The sequence below is a fragment of the Homo sapiens genome, chromosome 6 (genome assembly GCF_000001405.40).
Source record: "Homo sapiens chromosome 6, GRCh38.p14 Primary Assembly".
NCBI classification, from domain to species: Eukaryota; Metazoa; Chordata; class Mammalia; order Primates; family Hominidae; genus Homo; species Homo sapiens.
The window spans coordinates 161110858-161118367 of NC_000006.12; the positions used below are offsets into that span (position 1 = coordinate 161110858).

General features: G+C 40.5%; 1 protein-coding gene across 6 annotated transcripts in view, besides 1 other annotated feature; it reads left to right on the forward strand.

The window, feature by feature from the left end:
- The window catches only part of MAP3K4 (mitogen-activated protein kinase kinase kinase 4), a 125612-nt gene extending 119089 nt beyond the window's left edge, over positions 1-6523 (forward strand). For all 6 annotated transcript variants that reach the window (NR_120425.2, NM_001291958.2, NM_005922.4 and 3 more), the window contains 4 exons: positions 979-1101; positions 1811-1917; positions 4266-4445; positions 5993-6523. Coding sequence is in view for 5 of the 6 variants with exons in the window: in NM_001291958.2 (NP_001278887.1) it covers positions 979-1101; positions 1811-1917; positions 4266-4445; positions 5993-6013 (431 nt within the window). In the remaining variant the exon portion in view is untranslated. The remainder of the gene's footprint in view (positions 1-978; positions 1102-1810; positions 1918-4265; positions 4446-5992) is intronic.
- Positions 4652-4721: an enhancer, noted in NCBI's record as "active region_25411". NCBI's record gives its function as "activates an Ori minimal core promoter by ATAC-STARR-seq in GM12878 lymphoblastoid cells {active_cell/tissue: GM12878}" and the evidence as "EXISTENCE:reporter gene assay evidence [ECO:0000049][PMID:35858748]".
- Positions 6524-7510: the final 987 nt, after the last annotated feature.

Consider the following 7510-nt stretch of genomic DNA (forward strand, 5'->3'; position numbering starts at 1 on the left):
CCGTAGCACTGCCTATTTCTAGTCGTTCTGCCACAGACACCATCCTCAGTCTCTGTCCACTGTCACAAAATGGTGTTTGCACGTTTGTTCCGTGGCAGGAAGAGACTCCCTTAGAATCTGAAGCAGGTCAGCTCACTGGTGTCTTATCCAATGCTTTCTAGTTCAGCATGGCTAAGAAGGTACAGATGTACAGTCGCTCGAGAAGATCAAGCTGCCCCTCGTAGTCAATTGTGGGGAGCATCAACTCTAGGAGCACTGAGTTATGAGGATTCGCTGTTGACCTCAGCTCATCAGATGGCTGCTTGTCTAACTCCATTGGCTCTGTGTTGTTGCTTTTCGAAGGAGGTACCATAGAACACAATGCCAGAGATGTGTGACTTAGTTGGAGCAATAATATCTTGCAGCCTAGAGCAAAAGGCCAAGCTGTCCTGAGAGATGAACAGTATTCCCAAATTCTAACTAGACTACAAGTTAAGCATATATGTTGCTTGTAGGAATATTTGAAAATTGCAGAACAGTTTTCAGTCACGTCATATAAATGCAAGGGCCTCAGCTGGGACTCTGAAGAACTGCAGTGCGTGTGCAGCTCTCATCTACATGTCGCTTCCTGTTTCAGACGCTGCTGATTGTACACATCTCTCATTCTCCAGACTGCCACCACAACAAGCACTTGTGTTTTGTATGCAGTTTCTTTTTAAGTATCTCTGTGGGTTATTAATGTTAGAATGTATGCATGTATTTCAGTTCAGAATTTATTGGTCAAGGCTACCTGCACTGGTGTTAAAATTTTGTTGCTTTTTATTAAAATTTGTGAATAAGGCTTACAAATCTTCCTATGATTACACTTTGTAAGTCAAGTTTCATAAGCCTTTCGATTGTTTAGCTTGTGAATGAAGTTCCTGGTCGTTTAGATTACCATGTAACCTTGCCCACATTGTGTTTCAGAGGCTGCGTAACAACTACTTCTTTTCTTTTTAGGTGCCAATATCTTCCTTACCTCATCTGGATTAATCAAACTGGGAGATTTTGGATGTTCAGTAAAGCTCAAAAACAATGCCCAGACCATGCCTGGTGAAGTGAACAGCACCCTGGGGACAGCAGGTAGGGACCAGCCTGGTTGTTCTTTGCACTCTGACTTCATGCAGCCTGCTTGGGGCCTGCATGTTCCCTTCACCTTTGTTTGTCAGTAGAGATGGGAGAGCAGGTAAAGGTTTTCAGTCGTGAGAAGGACCACTTCCTCACACACTTGGGCTCCCACGCAAGAGCAGCTGTCACATTGGTGAATTAAATGACTCCTTTTAGGTTACAGGAGAGAGGAAAGCCTCTTTTTCTCACCAGAACAACTCTTTTGTTGTTTGCATTGTTTTTCTTAAAACTTAAAAAATGTAGACATTGTTTGTGCTCTGTAATGTGGCTTACCCCGAATCACTCAGCATACACCAGTCTCGTTGGCTGCCTGCCTGTCCACTACCTTGTCTAAACAACACTATGATTAAATGGTAATGATTCGTTTTGATCACTTAGTGCCATGAAATTTTGCCTCCTCCTTTGCAGGTTAAATTTTCTATTTTCATTGTGAATACAATTAATTTGAAAATGTGTACATTCAAAAATAGTCTTTTAAAAGAGAATTTGTCACCTAAAAAGTTTGTTCAACAAGTTGACTTGAACTGTCTGTAAATTTTTGATATTTCCCATTACCTAATGCAGGAAGATAATATTGTACAATATTAATTTATTGCTTGGCTCTATTAATACATGTTGATGTGTTTATAACCCATTACTCTCAACATATCTGTGACTTTTAAAGCATACATGGCACCTGAAGTCATCACTCGTGCCAAAGGAGAGGGCCATGGGCGTGCGGCCGACATCTGGAGTCTGGGGTGTGTTGTCATAGAGATGGTGACTGGCAAGGTAAGCGGAGCCCCCACACCTGGCGGAGCAACTTCAGAAGGGCACTGTGCATTAACAGAACAGTAGTTATGGATTGATTATTTATTACAAACACTGTGGACACTAAATAGCGAACGATATTAGATACAAAAATCTGATCCATCAAAAGATTAAGACAAATGACAAACCAGGAAACAAATATTTGTAAGATATCTGCCACAGAGAACTCTTATGAGTGAATTTAAGAAGCATAAACCTCTAATTAAAACACAGGGAAGCAAGCAGTTACAAAAAGCAACATTAAGTTGGAAACATGTCCACACAAAAACCCGCACATGAATGTTTACAGCAGCTTTATTCATAATTACCAAAACTTGGAAGCAACCAACATGTTCTTCAGTAGATTATTCATACAAAGGAGTATACTGAGCTTTAGATAAAAAGAAACACCCTGTCGAGCCACAGAAAGACATGGAGGAACCTTCAATGCATGTGGCTAAGTGATGAAAGATGCCAGTCTAAAAAGCCTGCACACTGAGCGATTCCATTTAACGACATTGGGGAAGAGGCAAAACCACAGGGACAGTAGAAAGATGAGTGGTTGCCAGGGACGTGGGGGAACAGAGAGACGAGTAAGTGGAGTACACAGAATTTTTAGGGGAGTAAACCTACTCTGTAGGATACACTGATGATAGATACATGTTAGTATGTGTATGTCCAAACCCATAGAATGTGCAACAGAGTGAACCCTGATGTAAACTATGGACTTCAGTTAACAGTAGTGCATTGACATTGGTTCATCAGTTCTAAAAAATGGAGCACACTAACGCGAACTACACATAGTAGAGGAAACTGTGGGACAGGGAGGGGGATATGGGAAGTCTCTGTACCTTCCAGTTAATTTTTCTATAAACCCAAAACTGCTCTAAAAAGATTGTCTGTTAACAAAAGAAAACATGAAAAGATGACAGCCTCATTAACCAGAATTATATATTTAAATTGAAATCATTTTTTTTTTTACTTAGCATATGAGTGACTTTTTTTTTTTTTTTTTTTTTTTTTGAGATGGAGTCTCGCTCTGTCGCCAGGCAGGAGTGCAAGTGGCATGATCTCGGCTCACTGCAACCTCCGCCTCCCGGGTTCAAGCAATTCTTCTGCCTCAGCCTCCCAAGTAGCTGGGATTACAGGCACCTGCCACCATGCCTGGCTAAGTTTTGTACTTTGGTAGAGACAGGGTTTCACTGTGTTGGCCAGGCTGGTCTCGAACTCCTGACCTCATGATCCGCCTGCCTCAGCCTCCCGAAGTGCTGAGTGACATTTTTAAAGATTGAGAATACTATCTTTTAGAGAGTATATAAAGAAACACACATGTTTTGGACAGAAATTCCATGTGGTAGGGCTGCTCCGGAGACATTTCCAATCTCTATCAAAATTTTAAATGTGCATAGCACTTAAACCAAGAAGTTTTCTGCTTCTGAAAATGTATCTTATGATGATAATATTAATGAGCAGTTATACAAATGTAAAAAGACACGCATGAACTGCACATGGTAGCTTACCGTACACATACAGTATTATAGCAAAAAAGTTAGAAACCTTCATTTCTAAGTTAAAAGTTAGTGTTAAGTTACTAGTAGGAAATCAGTTAATTATAATGTAGCTATGCCTTGCAGCTGCTGAAACAGATCACATATAAGTGCTCAGTAAATATTAGCTAGCATTATTTCTATTAGCATTAAAATAGAAAGGCAGTTGTGATATCTGTGTTATTCCAGTAAAGCCACACATAAAAGAACAGGTTCTCATATTGAAGAATACATATTGGCAATGACGAAACAATAGTTTAGAAATTAGAATGCCATACACACTTAGTTCCTTCCCCTGTGAATCTCATTTTTCATAGGATCATAATGAAATAAGCTTTGCACTAATGCAATTTTTATTTTTCAATAAGGTAGCATATTAACCATCCCTATAAGAGAATTGGGTTTTATAGACTTTTTTATGTCATTTTATATATTTTTTAGTTGCATGATGATGGCTTCTAGATACTGTTGGACTAAATAGTGCACCCCAAATGGAGTAGGCAAACTATGCTGGCCACCTGTTTTATAAATAAAGTTTTGTTGGAACAGTCATATTCATTTATGTGTTGTCCATAGCTGCTACCATGCTGCCATGAGATTAGTGAATAGTTGTGATAGAGATCATATGGCCTGTCAACCTAAAATATTGTTTGGCCCTTTCAGTAAAAATTTGCTGTCCCCTGATATATATTAATGATGAGATGCTTAAAAACAGACTGAACATTTGCGTTGTTTGTGGCTGTGTAATATTAAAATCTGATTTTTTAAAAACATCTTTTTTAGAGGCCTTGGCATGAGTATGAGCACAACTTTCAAATTATGTATAAAGTGGGGATGGGACATAAGCCACCAATCCCTGAAAGATTAAGCCCTGAAGGAAAGGACTTCCTTTCTCACTGCCTTGAGAGTGACCCAAAGATGAGATGGACCGCCAGCCAGCTCCTCGACCATTCGTTTGTCAAGGTTTGGCAGATTACTGGATAGTCTTTTTCATGTTTAAGTGTTTAAGTTCTGTTTTGCATCAAGACGTTAATGAAATTTTGAAACTTTAAAGTAGCTATATCTGAAGTGGAAAGGAACTAAATGTATTATTATGCCAGGGATTTTTGTATGTGTTTTTTCATTTGGAAAATGTTCATTGAGGTTCTTCCACTTGATCTGTTTTGATGGTGCATTTAAGATACACCAGAGACAGTAAAATGGACTTTTAGATGGGACTGGATGAAAGAGTTTCCACTCTTGAGAGTGTATAGTCTACTTGGAGGGTCAAGACGGTAATGACTAATCATTATACTGAGAGCTGTGATAATGGTATATAAGGTTACTCAGAAGAGGAATTTAATTAAGTCAGCCAATCTCAGTTCTTTTTTCTCTAGAATGAGGTACCTTAGTTGTTTAAGAGCCACAGCCAGGTCAGAAGTGGGGGAGGGGGCATGGAAGACAAAGTAAAGAAACTTGGAAACGCTCACCCTTCCGGGAGAGTGGGATGGTCACAGAGCCCTGTGTAGGTAGATCCTGGTGAACACAGGATGTGGACAAGGGCAGGAAGATAAGGCTAGAACAGTAACCAGGAGCAACATGAAGGAGTTTCCATTTTATTATAAACATAAATGATGACATAGAGTTTTAGAAAGATCACTCTAGAGGCAAAGGAATTGAGAAGGTTCTGATACAGCCAAGGGGTTGGGAGAGGGCGTTCCGGGTGAGTGAACAGCGGCATTTAAGAGTTAGAGTGCCGTGGCTGACCCCTGATTGGATGTGAAAGGTGAGTGAGGGGAGGAGTCTAGAGTGGCTCCCAGGTTTCTGGTTTGTGTCATCAGGTCACAGACTCTATTTGCCAGGGTAGGGAAAGAAGCAGCTGGGTGAGGGGTGGGTCGGGAGGTGGTGGGTCCTCTTTGGTGGATGAAGCTTGGGGTACATTTGGAGCATCTGCTTGGAGATTTCACATGGGCATTTGGATACCTGGGGCTGGCACTCAAGAGGGATTTTGGGTAGGGCACAGGTGTGGGAGACAGAAGTATTGCTGGGAGGGTCCACAGAGGACAAGGGGATGAGAACAGAGCCCTGGAGAAAAGAGCCTTGCAAGGGCCCTGCAGGAGAGAGTCCCTGGGAAAGGAAAGGAAGGGGCAGAAGAGTGGGGTGATGCTCTTATTGGTAAGTGGGAGTAAGGGGCAAGCAGCAGGATCAGCTATGGAGACATTAGGGATTTGTAATTAAATAACAATTTATGTCTTAGTTATGAAGTGCATAACAATTTATATTGACCTGAGAGTGCATATAGGCGTTTTAGAAAATGCTTTCATTAGTCAGTTCCCAGGCTTAACTTTAGAGCAGTAACTTACCTCTGCCATTGTTCATTACATTTCTTAAGCCTTGCCCTCTGTGCCCAGTACAGTGCTGGGAGCATCAGGATGAGTGGATGGGGCCTTCCCCGTAAGACTCATACTGCGCGTATGCACAAGCACACACCTGGCTCTGCAAGAGCTCAGCTCTCTCCTGCTTCCTCACAGGTTTGCACAGATGAAGAATGAAGCCTAGTAGAATATGGACTTGGAAAATTCTCTTAATCACTACTGTATGTAATATTTACATAAAGACTGTGCTGAGAAGCAGTATAAGCCTTTTTAACCTTCCAAGACTGAAGACTGCACAGGTGACAAGCGTCACTTCTCCTGCTGCTCCTGTTTGTCTGATGTGGCAAAAGGCCCTCTGGAGGGCTGGTGGCCACGAGGTTAAAGAAGCTGCATGTTAAGTGCCATTACTACTGTACACGGACCATCGCCTCTGTCTCCTCCGTGTCTCGCGCGACTGAGAACCGTGACATCAGCGTAGTGTTTTGACCTTTCTAGGTTCAAAAGAAGTTGTAGTGTTATCAGGCGTCCCATACCTTGTTTTTAATCTCCTGTTTGTTGAGTGCACTGACTGTGAAACCTTTACCTTTTTTGTTGTTGTTGGCAAGCTGCAGGTTTGTAATGCAAAAGGCTGATTACTGAAATTTAAGAAAAAGGTTCTTTTTTCAATAAATGGTTTATTTTAGGAAAGCTCAGTTATATTGTCTTTTAATGGTTAACACTTATGAGCCAACGCAGTATGATACAGAAGTCTGTCATTTTCACTCATCTGTTCCTCAAAAGGAGGAGCACAATCACGTGTGCTAAAGATGGTCACTGGGTTCGGCGTCTCTTTAGGATCGCCTCGCTGAAAAGCAAAGGAAATAAATGAAGCAACACTAATGACGTAAGGTGGTTCCTTTTAAGTAGTTTCTATTAACCAGCAAGTTTATAACAGATACAAGTTTAAGCCTTGTTATCACATGTTGGGAGTTCACTTTATTTTTAAACCAAGATGTTTAGGTGCTAGGTCAGTGTAATTACTGCTGAATGATCTGATGAGAAAGCATCTTTTTCAGAAGTAAACATTTCAGCATTTAGCTTTCCAAAACAGCCCAAATTATACATCATTGGTGTTTTTTTTGTTTTTGTTTTTGCTATTAAATTTTTTAAAAAGATTGACCATAGAGCTTCCTGAAATCTTTTTGGAAGATCACTGACTCTCACTCCTTACACATAGCCATTGACCCTGGGCAAGTAATTTCTCAAGCAGGTTTTGTATTAATCTTCCTTCAGAAGAGTAGATCCCTTCAGCCAAGAAGTTAATGTCCAGAGAATATTGGCATCACAAAAGGATTTATACAACCACTTAGAATTTTAAGACTTCTTAAAATACAGCTTTTTGAGTTATATTTTGCATAATATTTGAAGGGTACAATTCAGTAACTTTTAGTATAGTTACATAGTTGTGCAATCATCACCACAGTCCAATTGTAGAACATTCCCATAACCCCCAAAAGAAATCTCATGTCCATTTGCGGTCACTCCCCATTCTCACCCCTAGCCTTAGGTAACCACTAAACGATTTCCTATTTCTATAGATTTTCCTATTCTGGACATTTCATATACATAGAGTTTTATAATATGTGGTATTTTGTATCTTCTTTCACTTCGCATATTTCTGAGATTGATCCATGT